This window comes from Homo sapiens, chromosome 7 (genome assembly GCF_000001405.40).
Source record: "Homo sapiens chromosome 7, GRCh38.p14 Primary Assembly".
Lineage (NCBI taxonomy): Eukaryota > Metazoa > Chordata > Mammalia > Primates > Hominidae > Homo > Homo sapiens.
The window spans coordinates 22,835,326-22,861,436 of record NC_000007.14 but is presented as its reverse complement, the minus strand read 5'-3'; the positions used below and the strand labels follow the sequence as shown (position 1 = coordinate 22,861,436).

Genomic DNA, 26,111 nt, shown 5'->3' with positions numbered 1-26,111 from the left:
TATCATTAAAAAATGTATTTCATTTAACTCAATATATTCAAAACATCATTTAATTTGTAATCAATATAAAATTGAGATAGTTTACATTTTTTTCAAGTTAATTCTTCACTCCTGGTGTTTTTCACCCTTCAGCACATGTCAACTTGGTCTAGCCACATTTTAGGTACTCAATAGCACATGTGAATAGTGGCTACCCCATTGGACTGCAGTTTTAGATTCTGATTTCCAAAGTTCCACATATTTCTCACTGTGAGAGGCCTATAAATGATACAATGTGCTCTATTCTGCCTTAAAGAGTGGCAGTAACATGGCAGGGCACTTGTCCAGCTGCAAAATCAATGGTATGAGACTCCATTCCATCAGCTACAACATTCGGCTCTATTCCCAGAAACATACATCAAACTGATTAGACTGGATTTTGTCTTTGAAACAGATTAGTGTGGAGCTGTCCTGGAGATGGAGATGTCAACGGAGGATGATTCTGAGACAACTGGCCCCTTGCAGTGCAGATAAACTCCATTAGGGGGCCTTCTAGTCATGGTGGCATAATCCTGGATTGTGATTAATGACAATTTTGTAACAAAATATTGCCATCAGAACTTTCCAGTTTATGAATACGAGGTAAATTTTGGAAAGACAATCTTTTCTAGTACAAAATAAAAGTAAGCCTTTCGAACACATCTCTGGCTGTTCACAGAATGTGAGCATGGCTTTCGTCTCAAGAGGAAAAGTTACCCCTGGTTTTAGCTTGAAAATCAGCTGAGTAGGCCCAGGCCCACAGTGATCTGGTCCACTCACCTCCCTGCTCCAGAGGCAGTCTCCACTTTCTCTAGATCCCCATTTAGTTATGCAGACACCTTCTGTTCCATTCCTTTCTTCAAAGTAGAGTACTTGAGATCATGAAGGAAAGAAAGCTTACTCCTCGGCTTTAAAGAGCTTAGAATGCACATGACCACTCCCCTCCTCCATTAGAAAATTATGGCAATTGCCTGATTACTAACTTGCCAGTTGGCTCTTTGCTCTTAGGAAGCTCAGAGACAACTTGGCTGGAGCCTACAGCATGAGATCTAACAGTTAGGTTTTTTATTCTTGCCCTCTACTTGCTGAGCTTTTATCTGCTTCTAATTATTGTTGCTTGATATTTGTTATAAACCATGCTAAATTATTTTGGGAATGTGGTGGTGGGGGGGTAAAACTAGATTTTTTTTTTCAGTTTGCCCTAATAATTTAATCTTTCACATATTGACCCAGACATGAAATGAAATTATTCCTTACAACAGAAGTCAACCAGAGAACATTCTATTAAAACTGGCTCCGACTTACGTACTGAAATGAGTCACACTGTGAAAGCTCCAGAAAGGTAGGAACTGTCTCTATCACAGGACTTGACACAACACAACAGCAAATATTTGCCAAATTACACAATTAAGTATGTAAGGCTTAAGGACCTTCAAAAAGACACATATTTTAGTCTGGAATATTCACTTGAACTACAAAGATTTGGCTACTTTTAGGAAACAGAATCTATTTGTATCCAAGTGCTCAGGAACACCATGGAGTAAGACAAAATGGGATATGGCCATTCTCGAAATCAAATTGTGACTCAATCTACATGAACTGACATGTCAATGCCACAGTTGTTACACTGGGTCTTATTTACGTCACTATCTGGGGAGGTTTTGTGACCAGAGTTCTTAAATAAGATTTCCTATTTTCAATGAAATCATAACCACTAGCATAAAAATTCTATTTCCAATCACAATTTCTTTTATAGTCATAATTAAAGATTCACATGCCCAAGTTCCTCACTTGGAAGCCCTCTTTGAAAACTTTCAACTCCAGGTTTGCTTCTCTTCATGGCACTTGAGCACAAAAGGATGGTAGTTTAACAGTCCATTCCTGCTTTTAGCTCTGCTAAACACGTAGACAGGCAATGTACTAAGGTAAGCAAGTTGATTCTGCAGAACTGTGGTACTGACTGCAACCACTCATCCCATTTTCCTGGGTGATGCTATGTTTAACAGAGGTTCTATATTGGACAACTCTGCATTGCTAGGCTATAGGGTAAGGGGATTTGGTAGTGGGGGAGTGGCAGGGAAGGTATGAAACCTAGAATCCTAAGGGACATCTGAAGAACTCTGCTCATACGGGCAAGATGGCCTAACTCTGTTCATGTCAGAAAATGCTCTTGGTCACCAGGGCAGGGCTCAACAGGCCCTGTGGTTAGACCTATTACATACAGAAAAGAAGAATGACTCACAACCCATACTTGAATCTATCCCTCTTCTAAGAAGCACCCTTCATTACTCCAAGGAAATGAGGACAAGGAATGCAGACTGGCTTTTTAGCCAGCTTTTCAGAGTCAACCACGTAGTTTATGCAGCATCACCCCGTTTCAACCCAAGACCAATTACTCAGCCTCCTTTCATTTTTCAAATTTCTTGGTTAGCCAGTATTTACCAAGGACATCCTAAGCTTTCCTGAAATGGAAAACAGCCAATATGGAAAGTAATGCTGCAGGGAAGCCACAGTAGTATTCGGAATGGCGCACGGCAACATTTTCCATATCCCACTTTCTGCCATCTCATGCCCACAACAATGGATACATCAGAGGTGAGATTTAAAATGCTGCTGTGGATACAGCATTGTTGTTGCCATCCAGAAGGGGAATTTTTGCAGCACTGATGAGCGTGCCAATACACAACTGCCGTCTGGTCCTGCTTCTTGGGTATTTATTGTGTGCATGAGTCACTTCCGTGACTTATGTCCCAAGAGTGATTTTGATGTATTTTTGATTTTCCAACTTGGCAGTTCATGTAGATAGTGACCCCAAACCATCTTGCCATAGATTTCACTGGAAACACCACTGAAATGCCAAGGAGGGTTAAGTTTTTAAAGTCATGTTTATTGAAGTATGATTTTACATTCAGCAAAATTCATCCTGTTAAGGTTTGACAAACGCACAGTCATACCATAATCAAGATGCAGAACTGTAGAATCACACTAACAATTCCTTCCTGCCCTTGTAATCAACCCCTTTTTGATCCCAAGGAACTCACTGACCTGTTTTTCTGTCAAAAGTATCAAATTTCATCACTAAAATGATCTACAGTACTATGGAAAAATGTGTAAGCACATAAAATACACAAACCTATTTTTTTAAAAGTGAGATACTTAAAATTTCTTTAGCATACCAACAAAAAATGAAGGTAGCATTGCATTTTACTACAGATGTGCGGACATTCAAAGTCCACCATTGTCGTATATATGGCTCAACAGTAATATTTAAGAATATACTGCTGGGTATAGTGGCTGACGCCTGTAATCCCAGCCCTTTGGGAGGCTGAGGCAGGCTGATCACCTGAGGTCAGGAGTTCTAGACCAGCCTGACCAACATGGAGAAACGCCATCCCTACTAAAAATACAAAATTAGCTGGGTGTGGTGGCACATGCCTGTAATTCCAGCTACTCGGGAGGCTGAGGTAGAATTGATTGAACCCAGGAGGTGGAGGTTGTGGTGAGCTGAGATCATGCCACTGCACTCCAGCCTGGGCAACAAGAGCAAAACTCCGTCTCAAAAAAAAAAAAAAAAAAAAAGAATATACTGGGCGGGCATGGTGGCTCACCCCTATTAATTCCAGCACTTTGGAAGGCCGAGGCAGGCAGATCACTTGAGATCAGGAGTTCGAGACCAGCCTGGCCAACATGGTGAAACCCTGTCTCTACAAAAATACAAAAATTAGCTTGTAATCTCAGCTACTCGGGAGGCTGAGGTGGAGAATCGCTTGAACCCGGGAGGCAGAGGTTGCAGTGAGCTGAGATCGTGCCACTGCACTCCAGCCTGGGCGACAGTGAGACTCCGTCTCAAACAAACAAACAAAAATGTGTAAAAATACAAAATTAGCTGGGTGTGGTGGCACGCGCCTGTAATCCCAGCTACTCAGGAGGCTGAGGCAGGAGAATCGCTTGAATCTGGGTAGCAGAGGGTGCAGTGAGCCAAGATTGCACCACTGCACTCCAGCCTGGGCAACAAGAGTGAAACTATCTATTATAAAAAAAAAAAAAAAAAAAAGACTATACTGTAAAATAACAATCTTAGAGTTAAGTCATATCTTTGTTGACCATGTGAACCATGATGAAGGTATTGCTACTTGTTTTATTAACACTGTCAAGTTACAGACCACAGCTGGTTCATGGAAAAACTACCTTAAATAATAGAATTGAATTCCACAGAAATGTTCTACAGGATCAAGTCAGCTATAAGGCAGTTTTGTGTCTCCAAAACTGTCAAATAATATTCCTATAGATGATTGGGGCCATCTCAAAATTCAACCTTGCTACCACTGTGAAAGGGACAAAAAAAAAAAAAAAAAAGCAACCTCTATTCTGTAGATACTAAAGGTTACATATTCAAATATACCTCCTCTACTTGAAAAGCTTCACTGATTCTTTCAAGCGCCAGACCTGTAAAAGAAGTATCACAGTAGGTATTACTAAATAGCAAAATACAGTACTGTCTAGACTGTTTACAAAAACTGTGCAAGTAAGTAAATAAAATCGTCCAGTATCTTACACACTGTTGCTTTAGTAATGTTGTGACATCTAAATTTATGTTTTCACTCAAAATCCTGTCTTTCTCTTGGCTTAGTAGTATTATCCATTTACCAAGAGCTTTTTCCCTTTTACCAAAAGCGTAATTTTAAAAGGGGGGGGGGTATGATTCCATTTAATAAATTCCTGCATACCAATTTGGCCTCAGGTAAATCCTTTAATCCATCACAGCAGAAGCACATAAAATCAGATTAGAGTTCTCATCCTTGGCCACAATTTCAATTCAACTATTAATAACTTAAACCAAATTCTTTCCACTCGGCCCATACCTTAAGTTCATCAGCATCTTGAAACTCCACCAAGCCTGGTTAAAAAAAGTGAAAGACAATGTTAAGAATATCATGCAATTTTGTTTTTTAATGAGTGGTCTTTATGGTGGCTATCCAATAGCTCTCTTTGATGAGTAAATAAATTGCTATCTCTGAATATAATTCCTGTACAAATTCTCCAAATTTCCTGATACTTGGGAGTCTTCTGTAGTTTCCAGCTAGGAGGAAAATGGTCAGGAGTCACTATCTTCCCACTGATGAGCATTGAATCCTATCCATTTTTGAAAAGAAACACTATCCCAACAATATTTGTCTGGGAAAAACTGAAACAAACCTTCCACAGATTTGAAAATCAAAGGAAGCACTATTAAACTCGCTTACCCTGAGGCTGAGTTCAGGGGGCTGGGAAGTTTCTAGTTCTGGGCACTTGCTCAGTTTTCACAATCCTTAGACGCTAGCTCACACTGCTTCCTTGACATGGTGTCTCTCACAGTTTAAACTGAATAGTTAAAAAACAATTTGGCAGGCCGGGTGCGCTGACTCACGCCTGTAATCCCAGCACTTTGGGAGGCTGAGGCTGGCGAATCACCAGCTCAGGAGTTCAAGACCAGCCTGGCCAACAAGGTGACACCCCGTCTCTACTAAAAAATACAAACAGTTGGGCATGGTGGCGGGCACCTGTAATCCCAGCTACTCAGGAGGCTGAGGCAGGAGAATTTCTTGAACCCGGGAGGCAGAGGTTGCAGTGAGCCGAGATTGCGCCGTTGCACCACAGCCTGGGTGACAGAGCGAGTCTCCGACTCAAAAAAATAAATAAAATAAAATAAAAATAAAATGGGCTCAATAAGAATCTCTAACACCTAAAGCAATGGTAAAACAAAGCCTTACCACCGCTATCTTCCTGTGCTGTATATAGGGCTATTCGCCAGAGCTGGAGGTATTCCAGGGAGGGAAAATTGTCCATGCTCTGGGTCTATCTATAACGCTGGATAAAAGATGCCTAGAACCTAGGCTGCAAATGTACAAGCTTTCCTCATTAAAGAATGGTAAAATGGGTCCCATTTGGTTTCATCAAAAAGGCAGCAAATCTTTCACAACTGAGGAAAACAGGTGAACCACGAGCTTCACATTCCAACAGAACTGTGGTACCTATGCTAGCCACAAAGATTATTTGTTGACTCAAATGTAAATTTAGATCTTTATCAATTTTACTAAATTCGCAAAGTATCCCTTTATATAGCATTTTGTACCAGTAATGAACAATTAGTATGCTCAGCGATGCTCAGGAGAGCCGCTCCAAAAACTTACATTATTCCCCAGACAAACGTTCTCTAGGGGCAGCCTTGCGTATTTCTACACCTTAGTAGACCTAAGTTAGGCGTTCAACACCTTGTCCTGGTCCAAGCCAGAAAGAACCCAGTAGTTCAGACTTTTCCCAGGTCAGAAAACCACGAAGGGCCTCCTCACACCCTGATTAAACGTTGGAAGCGGGCCCTGTGCTGTAATAACGCTCTGGCCACTCCCAAAAAAGCGAATCTTCGGGAGGAAAGCAGGCTCCCTTATTAGGGCTCACAGCACTCCGCTCAACTTACTGTAGGCGTCGGCTCCAGCAAGACTCGTCCCTCCAAGCCTTTAAATTATCTGACTGCGGGCCAGTAGCAAATGAACGGCACTGGTGGCGGTGGGGGATGGCTGCGCGAGTGAAATGACCTCCGTGTGTTTGCTAACCCCGCTATTATACTGCCCCGCTTAGAAACTTAAAGCGCTTCAGACATCAGATCTCACTCGCTTCCCAAATAGGCTTCCGTCCGCGCGGTCACAGCCCCTGGGCAGGCAGGAGCCCCGAGTGCACCAAGAACCCAGAGACCGTCCGGGGCTCGGCGCCTCCGCCTGCGGTTGGAATTTGATCCTCAAAATGCAATCATTTAATTGAAAAAGGACTAAAAGCTGCCTGTAGGCCGAATGCGTGGACGGCAGGGACTCAGGCACGGGAGGTGACGGGCGCCTGGCGGCTTCTGCTGAGTGGGGGTGGGATCCTCGAGGAAAGGGGGCGGCCCCTTCAAGCGCACAAGGACACGGGCCGTCCTAACCCGGGACGAAGGGCCCAAGCGCCACGAGGACGCCCCCACCCCCGAGGGGCCCTAACGGAGGCTTCCCCGCGGCGCCGAGCCGAGGCCTCGGCGTGGGGGCAGCGAGAGGCGCGCCTAGGAAGCGCACGGGGTAGCCCCGGAGCCACGTGGTCGGCTCCTGCGTCCAGAAGGTCCGAGCCCACTTACCCAGTCACGCGCCGCGGCCGAAAAGGGAGGGCACTGCGGAGATCAAGTTTAAAAGGGGCCTGGGCGGGGCGGCACCAACCAAAAAGTTGCCGGAAGGCCCCTCCGGGTCCAGCACCCGCCCCGCCCGCGGGGCCCGGAGGCCCTCGCGCGCCCCCTGTCGGCGGCCCGGGCCTTCCCCGCCTTGGGCCCCCCCCCCCACCCCACACGGCCCCGGCTCCCACTTGGCCCCGGCTCCCACTTTGCCCCGGCCTCCGAGTCTGGGGAGTCTGCCCCAAACTCTCGCTGGCTGTGATGTCTCTTTACCTCGTTGAAGGTCAGAGGAAGCTCCTGCCACTCAAATAATGTTAGGTGTCTCTGGTACCCACTCCCCTCCCTTGCCTGGTGTTTCTTAAAGTCTTCAGCCACGCCCCTGGGTGCTTCTTTCAAGACTCGTCTAATTACGTAGCAGAAGACTGGCTCCCGTTAAAGGATGTGAACATTAGCGGAGGTCGGGGGTGCAAACTCATCGAAGAGGGGTTGAAGCACGGGGAGGACTCCTGGTGCCTGGAGTGCTGCATGCTTAGAATGATGGCCACGGCCCGCAAATATCTTGCCCCCAAAGCACGTCTGTGTCATTGGACTGTGAGGAGGAAGGGGAGAAGGTATTCTGACTGCAGTAAAATAAGCAGGTCTGTTGGCTGGATGCCTAAGCAGCACTACATATAGAACATGAGTGTTAAGGACTGAATTTGTCCCCACTCCCAAAGACATTGAAGACCTAACCTCCAGCACCTGTGAATGCGACCTAACTTGGAAAAACTGCGTCTTTACAGATGTGGTCAAGACGAGATCATTGGGGTGGACCCTCCTAATTCAACATGACTGATGTCCTTATCACACGGTGTCAAAATGCCACTTGAAGACAGAGACACACGAAAATGTGGCGGGACAGGGGCAGATCAGAGTGATGCAGCTGTAAGCCCAGGAATGCGGTGGATTGCCGGCCACCACCGGAGAAAGGCTAGGAAGAGGCAAGGAAGGACCCTCCCCTGCAGATTTCAGAGGGAGCTTGGTGTTTGGTTCTGCTGACACTTTGATTTTGGACTTCTAGTCACAAGAAATGTGAGACAAAACATTTCTGTTAAGTCACCGAGTGCTTTGTTAAGGCATCCCTAGGGAATTAATACAAGGACTGTGGGGACTTTCCCTCTGCCGTTCTGTGTAAAATCTGGCCATAAAGACATTATTTGACTTCCCTTGTTTGACTGTAGGTCATAAGACCCCCATTCCAGAGGGAGTCCTGTCCCATACCCAGAAGGAAAGAGTGCATGCTCAGAGAGGCCAAGAAGAATCCAGACAGACAGGCCTTGCTGGGTTTTCTCCCTCTATTAGTCTTAGATCATACACTTTTTGTCCGATCACATTTCTACGTCACTGCCCATACTTTGTTGAACCTAGGCATAAAAATGGATAATTTCCCCTGTATCTTTGGGTCTTCATTTGAAGGATCCCGGGTATACACATTAAATACATTTATATGCTTTTTCTCCAATTAATCTGCCTTTTGCAAGTTGATTTTTTAGTGAACCTTAAGAGGGCAAAGGGAAAACTTTCCATGTTGGCCCCTACAGATTGCTCAGTGCAGCAAATACTTATTGAGTGCCTATTCTATGCCAGGTGCTGTGATTGGTGTTGGAGGGTGTGAAGTTCAATGAGAAACTGCCCCTGCACTAAAGTGAGGAATATAAAATGAGATTCACCCACTGATAGAAGCCCATGAAGAGTGCCAAGGGCACAGCATAAAGCCACAAAGCCCAGCCTGCTAAGGCTACAGGAAAGGCTTCCAGAAGGAAGAGGTACCTATTAGTACAATGAGTGTAGCATGACCAGCAGGAAACTCATATGCTGCATGAAATTTAGGAGAGGAAAGAAGCAAAGAGGCCAAGAGAGTTACAGAAAAATCATAGGATAATAGAGTGCAGGGGACTTTAATAGGTCATCTAGGATTATTCTCTGGTGGGTGGAGCTGGTCTTAGGGTGTTGTCATGCAGAGTTGCCATGATGGTGCAATGTAGGCTCCATGAGAACTCTGTTTCCTTCTCTACTGAATCCCCCGAATTCAGTGTAAACGCCTAGAATATATTTAGATAAGGGGAAAAACTCCTTATCTAAATATCCTTATCAGAGGAAGAGATTATTCCCCCAAAGCAGTTCAATATTCATACCATAAAACTCTTCAAGGCTGATAATGGGGCAGTAGTGGGGTTTTATCCCAGGCGGTAGCTTCCTTGGGTCACCTTGAGTGTGAATTTATTCCTGTATTCCCAGTACCTGGCCTAGGGCTTTGCACATTGTAAATGCTTGATAAAACCTACTGAATTTCCTTTTCTTGCTGTCCATTTGACTTGTCTTTCACACATGTGGTGAACTACAGATATTCCCTGACTTACAATGGTTTGATTTATGTTTTTTTTTTTTTTTTTTACTTTGTGATGGTGCAAAAGCAATACGTAGCTCAGTAGAAAGTGTGCTTCAAGTATCCGTACAACCATTCTGTTTTTCACTTTCGGTACAGTGTTCAATAAATTACATGAGATATTCAACACTTTATTCTAAAATAGGTTTTGTGTTCAATTGTTTTGTCTAACTGTAGTGTAATGTAAGTGTCCTGAGCACATGTGAAGTAGACTAGGCTAATGGGATAATAGTAGACTGGGATGTTCGGTAGGTAGGTGTATTAAATGCACTTTCAACTTACCATATTTTGAACTCACAGTGGGGTTATCAGAACATAAATCCATTATAAGCTAAGGAGCATCTATGCTTGGAGAGTAGGAATCCCAGGGCATTGGGAGGCGTTGTGCACTTCCCTGGCTTGTTTTGCTGCTGTTAGTGGGGAGCCTTTTCCCCCAGTCCCATGCTTTTCTGTAGAGGAGCTTCTCCCAGACAATGCCCCGGGCCTTTTACTCATTCTTTCCTCATTCCTTTCCAGAGAAGGAAGGAATTTCAATACAATTCTGTGCCAACATGAATGCTGAAATCATGCAAACTGTGGTGGTCCTGTTGGCTTCCATCCTCTGCCTGTCACCTGTTTTCAAGGTGGACAGGTGCAGACTATTATTTCCTCTGTGGGACTAGGGGAAATGGGTGTGGTGAACTGCACCCAGCCATTTTTGTGTTTTTTCGATGGTCAAAGTGGAATTAAAAATAATGTCGCTCCCAGCACTTTGGGAGGCCGAGGCAGGTGGATCATCTGAGGTCGGGAGTTTGAGACCAGCCTGACCAACATGAAGAAACCCCATCTCTACTAAAAATACAAAATTAGCTGGGCGTGGTGATATATGCCTGTAGTGCCAGCTACTCGGGAGGCTGAGGCAGGAGAATCACTTGAACCCGGGAAGCAGAGGTTGTGGTGAGCCGAGATTGCGCCATTGCACTCCAGCCTGGGCAACAAGAGTGAAACTCTGTCTCAAAAAAAAAAAGTATCTCTCATTAACCCTGCAATAACATAATCCTGGAAGCCACTGAGGGTTTTCTCAGCTCAGTGTATAGTCAGTCAATTGGGGACATTGTAAGTGTCACTGCCTTAACTTTTGTGCTTTTCTTTTTTTATTTCTTTTTTCTTGAGGTGGGGTCTTGCTCTGTTGCCCAGGCTGGAGTGCAATGGCAGAATCATAGCTCACTGCAGCCTTGACCTCCTGGGCTCAAGCAATCCTCCTGCCTAAGCCTTCTAAGTAGCTGGGACTACAGGTGTGTGCCACCGTGCCTGGCTAATTTTTTTTTTTTTTTTTTTTTGTAGAGGTGGGGTCTCACTATGTTGCCCAGGCTAGTCTTGAATCCTGGGTTCAAGCAGTCTTCCTGCCTTGGCCCCCCAAAACACTGAGATTACATGTGTGAACCAGCATGGCCTGCCACTTTTATGCTTTTTGATGGTCAAAACGGTATTAAAAATAGTGTCTCTTGGTTGGGCGCAGTGGCTCACGCCTGTAATCTTAGCACTTTGGGAGGTCGAGGTAGGTGGATCACATGAGGGGAGGAGTTCAAAACCAGCCTGGCCAACATGATGAAACCCCATCTCTACTAAAAATTAAAAAAAATTAGCCAGGCATGGTGGCGGGTGCCTGTAATTCCAGCTACTCGAGAGGCTGAGGCAGGAGAATCACTTGAACCCAGGAGGTGGATGGTGCAGTGAGCTGAGATCATGCCACTGCACAGCCTGGGTGACAGAGTGAGATTCTGTCTCAAAAAAAGAAAAAAGAAAAAAGTCTCTCATTAACCCTGCAATAACATAATCCTGCATTTTACCCAATTTAAATTTTTGGCCGTCACTTATGTTGGCAGGTGACATCCACTGGCTCATCTTTCTCAAAAAAGAAACACATCTATTTGAAGGCTGCAGCTATGATGATTCACTCCCCTTTTCTTCCCTCACTGTCCAAAACCAGCATAAGGCAATGATGGCCCAAGGTCTAGACTGGGATGGGGAATAGGGTGTCTCAGCTCTGAAGACACAATCTGAACAGTAATAAAGCTAGCACCTTAATTTCCATTCTTTCTTATGTCTGAGTTGGTTCTGAATGCAGAAGGAAGGGAAAGTGCATTATTTTTCACCCTCCCCCTATCCTACCATTGCCTGATCCTTATCCCCAGGAGGATCTAAGACTCACATGTTATCGACAGACTAACCTCAGACATTTGCTTTCATGAATTAATTGGCCCATTCATTTACTCTTGTGTCTGTGTGTAGTGCACATTTTAGTGTGTTGTTGCAGTGTAGAGTCAGAATATAAAGCAACTACAGACATTATTTATGATTTAAAGGATCACTCCAGTTGGGTGACATTTTAACTGGGGTCATTGGGCTGTTTGCCATGAGCAGGTCTCTGCCCAACAGCTTGCCTTTTCCAAGCAGCTGTTGGCTTGTTTTCAAGCCAAGAGAAAATGTCTGCCCTTGCTGAAGCATATTGGTTTCATCTGCTTAAATAAACCCATGTGGCTGATTTCAGCAATTAGAAGGTACACACGTGAGTATCCTGGAAGCCCTGGGATATGAGTGCTCTGATCCCCACGTGGGTACAAAATGGCCTTTTGTTTCTGATTCTCATATAGGTACAAAATAGCCTGTTAAAAAAAATCCCGACAGTTTCGTTATTTACAAACATGAGCATTGTTGTTCATGATACTTCTAGAAAATACATGAATAGAGTATAAAACAGAATTGTTACATATTTAACTATATCAAACATATTACCTTAATTGATAAGAATGATCAGATTTGCTGTAAAACAAATAAAATACAAACATTTTTAACTCCATATCCTTCCTCAATGAACTGCTTATTTCTTTGTTTCTGCTTATAGCAGAACTCCTCAAAAGAGTTGTCTGTATTTGTCTCTAATGCCTTGCTTCCATTCTCATCTGAATCCAATTGTGGTGGGCAGCCTCTGAGATGGCTCCTAATAATCCCCATCTCCTGCTATTCAGGCCCTTGTAGAATCCCTTCTCCTTGAGTCTGGGCTGCACACCGGAAGTGATGGGGTGGCATCTTAGAAAAGATGCTAAGCATTGTAAGTCATTAGGGAATTGCAAACTGAAACAACACTCAGATCCCACTACATACCTTCTAGAATGGCTGAAATTCAAAACACTGACCATTACAAATGTAAGTGAGGGTGTGGAGCAACAGGAACGCTCATTCATTGCTGGGAATGCAAAATGGTACAGGCACTTTGGAAGACAGTATGGTGGTTTCTTACAAAACTAAACAAACTCTTACCATAAGATCCAGCAATTGTGGTCTTTGGTATTTACTCAAAGAAGTTGAAAACTTATGTCCACACAAAGGCTTGCACGTGAATGTATTAGCTTTATTCATAATTGCCAAAACTTGGAAGCAACCAAGATGTCCTTAAGTAGGTGAATGGATAAATAAACTGTGGTACATCCAGACAATGAAATATTATTCAGTGCTAAAAACAAATGCTCTATCAAATCACAAAAAGACATGCAGGAGCCTTAAAGGCCTATTACTTACCAGGTATGGTGGCTCACACCTGTAATACTAGCACTTTGGGAGGCCAAGGCAGGAGGATCACTTTAGCCCAGGAGTCCGAGACCAGCCTAGGCAACATGGCAAGACTCTATTTCTATAAAAAATTTAAAAATTAGCCCAGCATGGTGGTGGGTGCCTGTGGTCCCACCTACTTAGGAGACTGAGACAGGAGGATCACTTAAGCCCAGGAGGTTGAGGCTACAGTGAACCAAAATTGCACCACTGCATTCCAGCCTGGGCAACACAGTGAGATCCTGTCTCCAAAAAAAAACTCCAAAAAGGTCTGGTGCGGTGGCTCACACCTGTAATCCCAGCACTTTGGGTGGCCAAGGTGGGTGGATCACTTGAGGTCAGGAATTCGAGACCAGCCTGGCCAACATGATGAAACCCTGCCTCTACTAATAATACAAAATTAGCCGGGCATGGTGGTGCATGCCTGTAATCCCAGCTAGTTAGAGAGGCTGAGGCACGAGAATAGCTTGAACCAGGGAGGCGGAGGTTGCAGTGAGCCAAGACTGTGTCACTGCACAGCCTGGGCTCCAGCCTGGGTGACAGAGTGAAACTGTGTCTCCAAAGGAAAAAAAAAAAAGCCCACTGCTAAGTGAAACAAGCCAATCTGGAAAGGCTACATATTGTATGATTCCAACTAACATCTTGGAAAAGGCAAAACTATGGAGACAGTGAAAAGATCAGTAGTTGCCAGGGGTTGGGGATAGGGAGGGATGAATAAGTGGAATGGGGAATTTTTTTTTTTAATTTTATTTTTAGAGATGAGGTCTTGTCCTATCACTGAGGCCGTAGTGCAGTGATGAGATCATAGCTCACACAGCCTCAGACTCCTGGGCTCAAGGATCCTCCTACCTCAACCTCTCAAGTAGCTGAGATTAAAGGTGCAAACCACCACACCAGCTGAAGAGAGAATTTTTAGAGCAGTAAAACTGTTCTGTATGACACTATAAGGGTAGATACATGTCATTATATAGTTGTGAAAACCTGTAGAATGTGTAACACAGAGTGAACCCTGATGTAGACTATGGATTTGGGTTATCAGTGATGTGTCAATGTTTCACCACCTGTAACAAACGCACCATGCTGGTGTGGGATATCATGGTAGGGGAGGCTGTGGGGAGGAGGGATGAGGGCATGTGGGAACTCTCCATTTTCTGCTCAATTTTGCTGTGAGCCTAAAACTGCTCTAAAAACTGTAGTCTTTTTAAAAAAAGTGATGTGGGCTGGGTGTGATGTCTCACACCTGTAATCCCAGTGCTTTGAGAGGCTGAGGCAGTAGGATTGCTTGAGGCCAGGAGTTCAAGACCAGCCTGGGCAACAGAGTGAGACCTTAACTCTACAAAAAATTAGAAAATTAGCCAGGTGTGGTGGTACACACCTGTAGTCTTAGCTACTCAGGAGGCTGAGGCAGGAGGATCACTTGAGCCAGGAGCTGGAGGTTGCAGTGAGCTGTGATTATAGTACCGTACTCCACCCTGGACAATAGAGCAAGACCCTGTCTCAAAAAAAAAAAAAAAGGTGACGTGATGTCACTTCCAAGATTAGGTTGCAAAAGACTATAGCTTCCACTGTAAGCTGCCTCTTTCTCTTGTAGATTATTTGCTCTAGGACAGGGGTCCCCAACCCCCAGGCTGCAGACTGGTATCAGTCCGAGGCCTGTCAGGAACCGGGCAGCACAGCAGGAGGCGAACGATGGGTGAGTGAGCATTACCACCTGAGCTCTGCCTCCTGTCAGATCAGCTGTGGCATTTGATTTTCATAGAAGTGCTAACCCTGTGATGAACTGCACATGTGAGGGATCTAGGTTGCACACTCCTTACGATAATCTAATGCCTAATGATCTGAAGTGGGACAGTTTCATCACTACCTCCCCACCCACCCCCCAAGCCCCCACGGGTCTGTGGAAAAATTGCCTTCCAAGAAACTGGTCCCTGGTGCAAAAAAAGTTTGGGTACCACTGCTCTAGGGGAAGCAAGTTGCCCTGTTTTGAGCTGCCCTATGGGGAGACCTACTTGGCATGGAATAGGTGTCCCAGGCCAGCAGCCAGCAGGGATCTGAGCCCTGCCAAAAGCCAGATGAGCAAACTTGGAAGCAGATCCTTCCTGTCGGGCTTGAGACCATTCTCACCCCAGCCAACGTGAGGATCCTACCCTTGTGGAAGACCATGAGCCAAGCCATACCCAGATTTCTGACCAACAGAAGCTGGGAGATAGTGAATGTTTATTGCTTTCAGCTGTTAGGTTGGGGTAGCTTGTTACACAGCAGTAGCTAAGTAATACACCAGTCCACCACTCCATAAAAACAGCTCTTTTTGAGGGCAGCAGTGATTTTGGTCTTTGCCTTAGTGAACCTTCATCTCAGTTGTGTGATCACTCTCTCCTTGAGACACTCTTCATTTGGCTTCCAGGTCACCACACCTTCTCTGTCTTTATCCAGCCTCCAGCCTGCCTCTTTTCTGCCTCTGTGACTGGATCCTTTTCATTTTGCCCGCCTTTTACTGCAGAGCTCTCCAGGGCTCAGTCCTCAGATCTCTGCTCTCCTTGATCCACTCCTGTCTAGGTGATGGCTTCGTTTAGTCATACGGTGTGAAATGACATTTTTATTTGATGAATCTTACATTTCTGTCACAGGCCTAGACTATTTCCTGACTTGCAGACTCATCTCTCCAACTGCCCACTCAACATTTGCACTTAGGTTTCTAAAAGGCATCTCAGAATTAACTTATCCAAAACTGAATTCTTGATTTTTCGCCCTCAAAAACTGATCTTGCCACCAGTAACCCCACTGAAGTAAATAGCTATTTCATTCTTCAGATGCCTGTGGCAGAAACCTGGGCAGCATCCCAGACTCCCCTCCTGCTCTTACACCTTACATCTGTCCATTGCAGCAATCCCAGCTCTACCTCTAAACCCCAACTCTGACCACTTCTCAACCACCCTAGTCCAAGTTTCCATGGTCACCCTTCCTGATGATTTTAACAGCTCTCTATGGTACTTTCCTTCCATCTTTGCACCTGCAGGTTATTCTCCACACAAAAGAGTGAACTCTTAAAACGTAAGTGTGATCATGTTATTTCTCTGCCTAGAATTCTTGAGTGGCCTCTCATTTCTTTCAGTGTAAAGTCAAAGTCCTTTCAGCGGCTTACATGGCTGTACATGATGTGGCCTCCATCTGCTGTCTGTCCTACTTCCTGACACTCTGTCCTTTTCACATTTGCTCCATGTACACTGGCCTCCTTGCTGTATTTTGAATGTAGCAAACATGCCTGCCTCTGGGCCTTAGCACTTGCTGTTCCTCTGCCCAGAATGCTCTTCCCCCAGGTTTCATTTTGGCCTGCACTGTCTCTTCCTTGAGGTCTCCAGTCATAAGCCACCTATTATGGCTGAATTGTGTTCCCCCAAAATGCATAGGTTGAAGCCCTAACCCTCCATGTGACTGACTAGACAGTATTTAGAGATTCGGCCTTTTGGGAGGTTAGATGAGGTTTTGAGAGAGGGGCCCTAATCCAACAGGACTGGTGTCCTTATAAGAAGAGGAAGAGATACCAGAGGCCCTTCTCTCTCCCCGGCACACATGAACAGAGGAAAGACCATGTGAGGCACTGCGAGAAGGCAGCTGCCCATACTCCAGGAAGAGAGTCCTCACCAGCAACCATCCCTGCTGGTACCTTGATCTTGGACTTGGAGCTTTCAGAACTGTGAGAGAGTGAGTTTCTGTTATGTAAGCCCCCAGTCTGTGGTCCTCTGTTATAACAGCCCAAGTCCACTAAGACACCACGTTAGAACTGCCTCGTATAAAGTGCCAACTCCCCTCATCTCACCCAGCATGCCTGTCCTCCCTAATCTGTTTTTCTCTTCACAGTGCCCTAACTTCCTTTTCTTGTTTGCATGTTTGTTTTTTTTCCTCTTCCCTGAATAGAACATCAGTGCCATGAGGGCAGAGGCTTGTACTCACAGCACCTAGCACTGCGTCTGGTGCATCTTAGGCCCCCACTTAATGGTTAAGTGCCCACGATTGAACTGGAGAAAATTCCACTGTGCTACCATTGCTCCAAATTCTGCAGACAACTACAGGTGCCCAAGAGGAAGAAAGCACTGTCAAAAAGTGAGCACCAGCCACAGTGGCCACCTAATTTATATAGTCTCACTTCTGTCATTCCTAGAACCAATTAAGGATTGCATTTGGCTACACATAATAAAAATCTGACTACAGGGGCTTAACCAAATAGAGATCTCATTTTCCTCACACAACAGTTCAGAACTGGTTCAAAGGGACCCAGGATCTTTCTTTCTGTTCAGCCATCCTTAAAATATAGCTTTAGCCCTTCTAATTAACTCCTCGCGGTCACACATCCTGCATTCTCATCTGCATTCTCAAGAAGACCAAGAAGGGTGAAGGGCAAAGGGCAAAGGTGAATGTCAACTGAGGTAGCCCTTTTAAAAACTGTTTTTTCCTAGAAGCCCTACTTGGTGATTCCCTTTACATCTCATTGGCCAGAACTGTGTTACATGCCCTCCTCTAGCTGAAAATGATACTGAGAAACACATTAAAAAAAAAAAAACAACGCCGGGTACAGTGGCTCACAACTGTAATTTCAGCACTTTGGGAGGCTGAGGCAGGCGGATCACCTGAGGTCAGGAGTTCGAGACCAGCCTGGCCAACATGATGATGAAACCCCGTCTCTACCAAAAATACAAAAATTAGCTGGGCGTGGTGGCGCATACCTGTAATCCTTGCTACTTGGGAGGCTGAGGCAGGAGAATTGCTTGAACCCGGGAGACGGATGTTGCAGTGAGCATTCCAGTCTGGGCAACAAGAGCGAAACTCAGTCTCAAAACAACAACAACAACAACAACAACAACAACACCACGCTAGGCACATTACCACTCTAAATAAAAACAGAGTACTTTTGTAGAAAAGATGCCATGGAGTAATAACAATTGGCTAGGTGTCCAACAGTGTGGGCCTATCCCTGTTTTACAGGAAAAGGCCCGCACTTTTCAGTTCCTGGAAGAGTATAAGCCAGCACCACATTCCAAGTGTCTACTATAATCTGGATGGAGTTCCAGGTAGTGAGAACAGCTTGTACAGAATTTCTGAGTGGACATGAGAAAGAGCTTCCCTGTGGCTGGATCTCGGAGTGGGCGTGTGGGAGAATAATTGCAGGTGAAGCTTTGTTTGGTTCCTTTTTTTTTTTACGTAATTGTTCAAATCAACATTGCCAAGTTTAAATTTCAAGAGGGTAGGAATTGTGACTGCTTAATTTCTGCATATAAAGCCCAGGCTGCCTGAGCCACATGCAGGCAGTTACTAACAATTGACCCTCACAGAAATGGTAATAAATGACGTAAAGCCACTTGATTGCTTTGTCCTTTTTGATTAACGCATATTTATGACCCACATGTGGTGTGGGAGCCTGGAAATAGCTGCCAGGCCCATCCAGATCTGTGCTGGGTAATTGAATGCGGCAATGCCACAAATGGCTACTCCTAAATCATGCTTTTTGCTTTAGAGAAATTATAATGAAAAATGAATAATCCTTTTATTCTTTCCAGAGAAGTACACAATGTGTATTCAGTTCCTAACCCGTGACATTCCTAAGCATCTGTGTGAACATGACTTCCTGCCTTCCAGAAAAGCAACAGGGCCTGTTTAGGTTCCTTTTGCTTCCATCCTGTGTCCTTTCTCCTCTCCTTGCCAAATGTAGTCTTCAAGTTGGGGCAGCAGCGTCACAAATGCTGGCTTGAGAACAGAGTTACTCTGTATTTTTCTGTTGCTGGTCTGCGCTTCCTGTTGAGCCCATGTTCTGCTGGATAGGGCTTGAGGTGCCTTGCAGGTCTCACACTTTAGTCCAGTCAAGTAATTTATTCAGATTCAATAATTTAAACAGGCGTTTGAGGTAAATGTTCAGTCTATTTTTGTAACAGACTTAGTCTTTCGGGTTTCTGCTCCCCTTCCCTTTGCCTCTCCAGATGGCATCTGGTGTATGTGTGTGGCGGGGGGAGGGAGGTGCTTACGGCAGGGGAAGGGAAACAGGGTTACGGGGTTGATGCACATCCTCACTGGCCTCTGCTGGGGTCTGAACTGCCCTCAGGACAGTGACCGCTGAGATGCAACTGTTCCCAGTCTTACGTCGTCTCTGGAGTTTGCTGCTGAAACCTGAGATGTGATCACACGCTCTTGGGTTGGGCAAGCCTTGGGAATCTGCCCTGGACAACTCCAGTCAATGTTGCCTGCTTTGGTCACTCTATCTTTTTTTTTTTTTTTTTTTTTTTTTTAAGACGTAGTCTCGCTCTGTCGCCCAGGCTGGCGTGCAGTGGCACGATATCGGCTCACTGCAAGCTCCGCCTCCCGGGTTCACGCCATTCTCCTGCCTCAGCCTCCCGAGTAGCTGGGACTACAGGCGCCCGCCACCACGCCCGGCTAATTTTTTGTATTTTTTTTTTAGTGGAGACGGGGTTTCACCGTGTTAGCCATGATGGTCTCGATCTCCTGACCTCGTGATCCACCCATCTTGGCCTCCCAAAGTGCTGGGATTACAGGCATGAGCCACCGCACTGGCCCCCTCCATTACTTTCTATCGCTTTACCCTGCTTTCTTTATTGCAATTATCTTTCTCCATCTATTTGTCTCTCAATTAGCTTCTGCTAATAAAACTTAAGTGCCTTTGAAGATTATCATTTCTGTTTAGAGGTCTTCTATCCTCTAGAACGGTGGGGGAGTTATTTCCTTATCTCTCTCTCTCCCCATGTCTTTCTCCCTCCACCCCCCTATCTACACCAATACGTATCTATATCTATATGTATCTATATTAGTCAAATACATGAACTCTAAAATTTAACTTCCTGGATTCAAATCCCCATTCTGTTACTTTTTAACTCTGTATACTTGAACAGGTTGCTTAGCTTGCCTATGCCTTAATGTCCTTATTTGTAAAATAAGGATAATAGCAGTACCTGCTGTATAGGTTGTGATAAAGATAAAATGAGGTAATGTGTAGAAAGAGTTTAGGAAAGGGGCTGGCTCATGGGAAGCACCATGTAAGTATTTGCTGCTGGTATTATGGTTGACTGCTTATTGTTACTATTATCCGCCATTAGAATACAAAGTCCACAGAAGCAGAAACTTTATCTTTTTTATTGTTATATTTTCTAGTCTTTAAGCAATGCCTAACACATAGCAGGCACTTAATAACTACTGTATTGGTTGGGTGAATAAATAAATGAGTGTATTGAGAAACAACAACAACAAAAAGAAAAACACAGTCTTTCAAAAAAGATGACAACCCTTTCACACTCCCTCTAGTAAAAGTTTATGTTTCTCTCAAGGTTCTTCACTACTACTTAGGGCTGTCCTATCCCTAAACTAGTGATAACTAGGTCTTAGGCTTTAACGGATTTTTTTCTACCCGGAAACTACACCACTGTAGGACTACCAAGCCCGCTGGGTGACCTGGTCCTGGGGAAAGTCTCACCTCCTAACTCTCAGAAGTTCCTTCCTTTTCCTTCTGTTACCTCTCAAGAATTCCTTCTCCTGCTCTGAGAACCCAGCATGTGGACGGTCGAGGGGTAATTTTTTTTTTTTTTTTTTGAGATGGAATTTCGCTCTTGTTGCCCAGGCTGGAGTGCAATGGCGCAATCTTGGTTCACCGCAACGTCCACCTCCCGGGTTGTAGCGATTCTCCTGCCTCAGCCTCCCAAGTAGCTGGGATTACAGGCATGCACTACCACACCCAGCTGATTTTGTATTTTTAGTAGAGATGAGGTTTCTCCATGTTGGTCAGGCTGGTCTCGAACTCCCGACCTCAGGTGATCCACCTGCCTTGGCCTCCCAAAATGCTGGGATTACAGTTGTGAGCTACCATGCACGGCCCGAGGGGTACATCTTCTATTGCTGGAGGGAAGGACTTAAAGAAGTCTTGCTGTGCGTGTGCGTGTGCGTGTGCGTGTGTGTGTGTGCAGTGAGGGAAGGCAGATGATAATGAGCAGCTCTCACTGCTTAAAAGCAGCCAGTTCCCCATATTCTGTATGGTTTGAGAGAGAGCTGTCCTGTGCTAGCTCTCCCCACCGCACTGTGGTGCTCATCACTGTCCCCTCCTGCCACGCTAGCGGCTGCTACTAGCTGGAGGCTTTCATTCTAATTTATCTCCCCAATTATGTCCCAGGTCATCCCACTAGTGGCAGGAGTCACTGTTCATGGAGATGAGCTTCCCCCTTTGATAAGAGTCTCTGAATTCAAAGCAATCGCTCTGAGTTTGAATTTTGGTATGGCCTCTCCTCCATCTTTCTTCTACTGACTTTCCTCTCTCTGCCTCAGCACAGCACCCCCCTTGCAGGATTAGATTCAAGACCTGGCCAGGTGCGGTGGCTCATGACTGTAATCCCAGCACTTTGGAAGGCTGAGGCAGGTGCATCACTTGAGGTCAGGAGTTCCAGACCAGTCTGGCCAACATGATGAAAACCTGTCTCTACTAAAAGTACAAAATTAGTCAGGTGTGGTGGCACACACCTGTAATCCCAGTTACTTGGGAGGCTGAGGCAGGAGAATTGCTTGAACCCAGGAGGTGGAGGTTGCAGTGAGCCGAGATTGTGCCACTGTATTCCCACCTGGGCGACAGAGCCGGACTCTGTCTCAAAAAAAAAAAAAAAAAAAGCAAAAAACAAAACAAAACAAAAAACTTGAATTCAAGATTTGGCTACTTAGTTTGAATATAGAGGGTTATAATCAGCCCCCAGGGCAAAGAAGTGAGTTGGGCATGTAGCAGGAGAGGGATTGACTATTGTTTAACCCCACCCAAGTAAAGTGTTAGGGCTCCATCCCTTTGGGCACTAAGGCCCTTAGTGTTCAGGGATGCGGGGGTACCCAAAGATGAGCTCATATATGACAATTTGAAAGGGCTCAGCAGTCTTGGGGCGTGGCTGCGTTTCCTTTTGCTGGACAATTCACAGGCACCGTGCAAGCCCCCATTGACAGAAAACCCTTCCCCCATAGCAAAGAAATGATTAAATCAATCTTCCACACAAGTACTCCCAGTGGCGTACACTGCTCTGCGAATGTTGACTTGGTGTTTAGGTCTATCTGGCCAGAGAGGAAAGTCCCTCTTCTCCTTGCCAGACCTTTTATTATTCATTACTTGGTTCTATTTTTTTTTTTTTTTTTTTTTTTGAGGCAGAGTCTCTCTCTGTTGTCCAGGCTGGAGTGCAGTGGCATGATCTTGGCTCACTGCAATCTCCACCTCTCGGATTCAAGTGATTCTCCTGCTTCAGCCTCCCAAGTAGCTGGGATTACAGGTGCCTGCCACTATGCCTGGCTAGTATACTTGTTTCTTTTTATAAGGTGACGAGAGAGAAATCCTCTCTGGGAGAAAGATATATACATATTTCTGCAATTTTAAATTTTAATTTTTTTAGAAACGGGGTCTCACTGTTAGGCAGGCTGGAGTGTCATGGTACAATCGATAGCTTACTACATCCTCAAAGTCCTAGGCTTAAGTGATCCTCCCATCTCAGCCTCCTGAGTAGCTGGGGCTACAGGTGTGCACCACTGTGCCTGGAGACAATTTTTAAAATATATTTTTCTCTTCTGAGGAATTATGCATGCTTGCTACTATGTGATATTTCTATTAAAAATAGAATGGTGGTTATTTAATAAGATGTTAACTACAGTGGCTTCTAAGCCCTCCCCTTGGGATGTTGCTTTTGTTTTAAAAGTCTGAATGGTGGAGAATCCCTGATCCAATCTGACCTAGTTTTAGCAGGGGCTTCTGTGGGGAAGCTCTGCGTATGTGACCTGGCCACTGCGTCCCAAAGGACAAGGTGACTCGACTTTCTCTTTTAAAATGAAAGTTCCTGTCTGTGATAATACCCAATTTCAACTTTTCTTTCTTCATTTGAGGCCCTGAGAGGGGAACTTCTACCTTCCAGTAGAACTGTTACCCTGCAGTAAGCATGCAAAATTCCTTAGAATAGAGAGAAATGTACAAGTGACATTGCAAAACATTTTATATTTTTGTTAATGCTTATATTTTGTTATGTTTTGTTAGAGATAGGAACTCAGGTGGCAACGTACCCCTTGATGTGTATTGTAGGTGTTGGAAAGGTCAATAAAACCAGGAAAATAAAACTGAGAGCAATTGGGAAAAGAGGTCTTATTTTACACAGGGTGGTTGGGGAGGCCCCTCTGAGAGGCTGATATTTATGAAGAGACCTGAAGGAGATGAGGGGCTGAGCCATGGGAAGAACATTCCAGGCAGAGGGAATGAAAATGCAAAAGCCCCGGCTGGGCATGGTGGCTCATGCCTGTAATCCCAGCACTTTGGGAGGCCAAGGCTGGTGGATCACCTGAGGTCAGGAGTTCAACACCCGCCTGGCCAACATGGTGAAACTGCCTGTCTACTAAAAATAAAAAATTAGCCGGGTGTGGTGGCATGCGCCTATAGTCCCAGCTACTTGGGAGACTGAGGCAGGAGAATCGCTTGAACCTGGGAGGCGGAGGTTGCAGTGAGCCAAGATCATGCCACTGCACTCCAGCCTGGGTGACACAGTGAGACTCTGTCTCAGAAAAAAAAAAAAAAAAAAGAAAGAAAATGCAAAAACCCCGAAGTGGGAGCCTGGGTGGCGAGTTTTGGGGTCATAAGGAAGGTGGGAACGTGACTTCTTGGCATGAACCCCACAGGCTGATGCTTCTCAGCAGGCCCTTTGATGTGCATGGCCTGCATTCCTGGCACCATCTCTGACCTCCTTCTGCCCCTCCCTCATCCCTTCCCTAGGTCTCCTAGGAGCAGGGGATGCGGTCACCTCTTTCTCTTCTTTCCTATCCCAGGCTCCAGTCCTTTGGTGTTAGCTCTGTGCCCTGCTCCCGACTTCCTCCCCGGGCCTCATATTTTAATTCATAAACCACTTATGAAAAATTTTTTAAAAGCTGAAATGGACTGTTTCCACTTCTTTTTGTTTCAGTGATAATAATTCTGCTTCTGTTGGAAGCAAAGCAGATGTCTCCACCTGACTGTAGTCACATACAAGACAGCTGGGTAGGGGAAGAAATAAAGAAAAGAGCTTACTGCGTTGCTTTTTCACCCTCCACCTACTTAGTCCCTGGAGATCTGGTTTTATATCTTAAATCCCACAAAATTGTCTTACAGTATTGTGACTTGTGACTTCCTAATTTCCAAAAGCAGTGGCTTTGTTCTCAGTACTCCTCTTAAATAATTTATCTGCAGAACCTGGCACTGTGGCCACATAGTGCTTCCAGGAACTAACTACTGTTACCAGTGGAGGGTTCCCAGGTTCTTGGTGTTTTGAACAAAGAATTGGACAAAATGCACAAACAAAGCAAGGAAAGAACAAAGCAACAAAAGCAGAGACTTATTGAAAAACTGAAGTACACTCCACAGGATTGGAATGGGACTGAGCATAGGGGCCCAAGAGCCCCTTTACAGAATTTTCTGGGTTAAATACCCTCTAGAGGTTTCCCATTGGTTACTTGGTGTATACCCTATGTAAATGAAGTAGTGGCCCGCAATCAGAGCAACCAGAGACTGAAGTGAAGTTACAAAGGTTACACCCTATGCAAGCATCTGATTGTGGAAAGCAACCAGTAAGAGGCTGAAGTGAAATTACAAAGTTACTTTTTTTTGAGATGGAGTTTCTCTCTTGTTGCCCAGGCTGGAGTACAATGGCACAATCTCAGCTCACCACAACCTCTGCCTCCTGGGTTCAAGCGATTCTCCTGCCTCAGCCTCCCAAGTAGCTGATATTACAGGCATGCACCACCACATCCAGCTAATTTTTTTTTTTTTTTCGAGATGGAGTCTCGCTCTGTCTCCCAGGCTGGAGTGCAGTGGCACGATCTCAGCTCACTGCAAGCTCTGCCTCCCGGGTTCATGACATTCTCCTGCCTCAGCCTCCCGAGTAGCTGGGACTACAGGCGCCCGCCACCACGCCTGGCTAATTTTTTTTGTATTTTTAGTAGAGACGGGGTTTCACTGTGGTCTCGATCTCCTGACCTTGTGATCCACCCGCCTCGGCCTTCCAAAGTGCTGGGATTACAGGCGTGAGCCACTGCGCCCGGCTGTATTTTTAATAGAGACGGGTTTCTTCATGTTGGTCAGGCTGGTCTTGAACTCCTGACCTCAGGTGATCTGCCCACCCTTAGCGCCCAGCCTTTTTTTTTTTTTTTTTTGAGATGAAATCTCCGTTTGTCACCCAGGCTGGAGTGCAGTGGCATGATCTCTGCTCACTGCAGCCTCTGCCTCCTGGGTTCAAGTGATTCTCCTGCCCCAGCCTCCCGAGTAGCTGGGATTACAGGCATGCGTTACCATGCCCAGGTCATTTTCGTATTTTTAGTAGAGACAGGGTTTCATCATGTTAGTTAGCCTGGTCTTGAACTCCTGACCTCAGGTAATCTGCCCGCCTCAGCTCCCAAAGTGTTGGGATTACAGGCCTAAAATTGCTTCTTGATGTGTCCAGCAAAATGATTTTCCTACTAAATGTACTACCACAAAGGGGTCAACTTGTTGGATGGGTTCATTATTATTACTATTGTTATTATCCTTTTGAGGCAGAATGGCTACCAAATGCAAGTATTTTATTTACCATTATTACTGTGTGGCATACCTTCTGATAGTCATTAGTGACTGGATTAGAAAACAGAAGGGCCCAGAAAGCCATATTATTTGTAAAACAAAAATAATATGGACTAGGGTGCAGCTCTTTTTGATGCTCCTTAAACTGAGATAGAATCTGTCATGAGATAAATCCTATGACTTCTATGATTGCACACACAGGATTATGATACAGCCTCTAGGTGAAAATCATACTTGCCAGATTTTTTATTTCCACAGTGGATTCAACTCAAATAAACAACTGTTACAGGTATCATCTCATTGAACACTCAACCTAATTGGGAAGTAACCAG

The 26,111-nt window shown here is 45.1% G+C and overlaps 1 long non-coding RNA gene and 1 other non-coding gene across 2 annotated transcripts, besides 6 other annotated features; both read right to left on the bottom strand.

Moving 5' to 3' along the window:
• On the bottom strand, window positions 1-7,197 carry SNHG26 (small nucleolar RNA host gene 26). Its single transcript, NR_146320.1, has 5 exons — window positions 7,157-7,197; window positions 4,881-4,915; window positions 4,421-4,464; window positions 799-890; window positions 1-551 (listed from the first exon to the last, which is right to left on the bottom strand). It is a non-coding gene; the product is annotated as a small nucleolar RNA host gene 26 (long non-coding RNA).
• Window positions 1,728-2,927: an enhancer, noted in NCBI's record as "BRD4-independent group 4 enhancer chr7:22898129-22899328 (GRCh37/hg19 assembly coordinates)". NCBI's record gives its function as "activates an origin of replication core promoter dependent on BRD2, P300/CBP, MED14 and CDK7 cofactors, and independent of BRD4, by STARR-seq in HCT116 cells {active_cell/tissue: HCT116}" and the evidence as "EXISTENCE:reporter gene assay evidence [ECO:0000049][PMID:35650434]".
• Window positions 4,751-4,824, bottom strand: SNORD93 (small nucleolar RNA, C/D box 93). The gene has a single exon (NR_003075.1). It is a non-coding gene; the product is annotated as a small nucleolar RNA, C/D box 93 (small nucleolar RNA).
• Window positions 6,193-6,422: an enhancer, noted in NCBI's record as "active region_25711". NCBI's record gives its function as "activates an Ori minimal core promoter by ATAC-STARR-seq in GM12878 lymphoblastoid cells {active_cell/tissue: GM12878}" and the evidence as "EXISTENCE:reporter gene assay evidence [ECO:0000049][PMID:35858748]".
• Window positions 6,193-6,825: a biological region, named in NCBI's record as "NANOG-H3K27ac-H3K4me1 hESC enhancer GRCh37_chr7:22894231-22894842".
• Window positions 6,214-6,825: an enhancer, noted in NCBI's record as "NANOG-H3K27ac-H3K4me1 hESC enhancer chr7:22894231-22894842 (GRCh37/hg19 assembly coordinates)". NCBI's record gives its function as "activates a minimal SCP1, AML or CMV promoter by ChIP-STARR-seq in primed H9 embryonic stem cells {active_cell/tissue: H9 hESC(primed)}" and the evidence as "EXISTENCE:reporter gene assay evidence [ECO:0000049][PMID:30033119]".
• Window positions 6,923-7,382: a silencer, noted in NCBI's record as "silent region_18004". NCBI's record gives its function as "represses an Ori minimal core promoter by ATAC-STARR-seq in GM12878 lymphoblastoid cells {active_cell/tissue: GM12878}" and the evidence as "EXISTENCE:reporter gene assay evidence [ECO:0000049][PMID:35858748]".
• Window positions 17,233-17,733: an enhancer, noted in NCBI's record as "H3K27ac hESC enhancer chr7:22883323-22883823 (GRCh37/hg19 assembly coordinates)". NCBI's record gives its function as "activates a minimal SCP1, AML or CMV promoter by ChIP-STARR-seq in naive H9 embryonic stem cells {active_cell/tissue: H9 hESC(naive)}" and the evidence as "EXISTENCE:reporter gene assay evidence [ECO:0000049][PMID:30033119]".